We start from the raw sequence: 1491 nt of genomic DNA, 5'->3' as shown, positions 1-1491 counted from the left end.
TGTCTATAAACCAAGAAGAGAGGCTTCAGAAGAAACCCGCCCTGTGAACACTTTAATCTCAGACTCCTATTCTTCAGAACTGTGAGAAAATAATTTTCATTTAAGCTTCCCAGTCTGTGGTATTTGTCATGGCCACCCTAGAAAACTAACATAGTCCTTAAATAGATTCAATAAGTAGCCAGGAGTGGGGACCACTAATCTAGTGGTTCTCAACCATCAAGTCACTTGGAGGGTTTGTTAAAGCACACATTATTGGATCCTACCCTCAAGGGGTCTGGCTCAATATATATCCTGGCCTGACAATTTGCATTTCTATCAAGTTCCCGGTGATGCTGACATAGCTGGTTCTAGGACCATATTTGCAAATCACTGCACCAATTTCTGTGTTGTAGTTGGTTTTTGAGTCTCCAGCTTCACCTCTCAACTCCTGCCACTTTATGGAACACCCTCAGTGCCCAGGGGTCTCTTGTCCTTGGTCCTGGTTCTCCCTGGGCTGCCTTGGTAAGTTACTCTTGATTCATACACATATTTCTTAGAAATGTGGAAAATTTTTAGTGAAAAAAACATGTCTGGGAAGAGTTACAATCTCAATAATCCTGTATATGTGTTTGTGAATTTATGTATCTTTCTACAAAGAGTTTCAGACAACTACTAAAACTTGGATGAACTGGGTCACTGCACATATGAAGATGTGAATAAAGGTTTAAATCTTAATACATTAATATTAAATGCATTTTATAGTTTCTGTGGGATTAATACTTACTAGGTATTAAAATATTTTTTTCTCGATTTACTAACATTTGCTTTGAAGAGCCAATAATAATAATAATAATAATGCTGTTTCATATTGCAGAGACTTTGCAGTGTGCCAATAAGAGGATGTATATGAGACCCTTACTCATGTATTTTTCTCTTGTGAAGCTGATCACACTGGACTTTTAAGTCCTTTCTTCCTGACATTCAGTCTTTGACTCTGAATTAGCTGAGGCATGAGAAGTTCACCACAGGAAGGTCCTGCCCTTTGTTTGCTCCTAAAGGTTCCTTTAAAGTTCAACTTGACCAACACACCATTGCAAGCACTCCAGAGGAGAAGACAGCCTTGCTGTGTCAAATCCACTTTAGTTTGTAAATTTCTTGTCAGTCACTTTTATGCCCCCACTGAATAGGACAGTGTGAAGCATGGATTAAGTATGCAATAAATGGTTGTTGAATAAATCAGAAAATTAAATGCATTCTGCACAGAATATGCTATTTCTCACCTTTGTGCCTTTGTGTATGCTCTTCCTTCTCCTGGGCTGCTTGACCCTATTCTTTACCTAACTTGGACTTCAAGATTTAGTTGAAAAAGTTATTATGAACAGAGCTTAGGCCCTAGCGGAGTCCATAACTGTGCTTTTTCTCTCATTTGCTTTGAAATACAGTGGCCACTGATTTAGTAATCCTATCAATAAGATAGGATCCTATCAATAAGATCAATCTTTAGAGAGTCCT

The 1491-nt window shown here is 38.3% G+C and overlaps 1 long non-coding RNA gene across 1 annotated transcript; it reads left to right on the top strand.

Annotated features, from left to right (window-relative positions):
• The first annotated feature begins 337 nt into the window (after nt 1–337).
• On the top strand, nt 338–1244 carry LINC01526 (long intergenic non-protein coding RNA 1526). Its single transcript, NR_126363.1, has 2 exons — nt 338–501; nt 854–1244. It is a non-coding gene; the product is annotated as a long intergenic non-protein coding RNA 1526 (long non-coding RNA).
• The last annotated feature ends 247 nt before the right edge of the window (nt 1245–1491 follow it).

This window comes from Homo sapiens, chromosome 6 (assembly GCF_000001405.40).
Source record: "Homo sapiens chromosome 6, GRCh38.p14 Primary Assembly".
In the NCBI taxonomy this organism is placed as follows: Eukaryota; Metazoa; Chordata; class Mammalia; order Primates; family Hominidae; genus Homo; species Homo sapiens.
The sequence above is the reverse complement of the archived record's forward strand: the minus strand, read 5'-3'. Positions and strand labels throughout refer to the sequence as shown.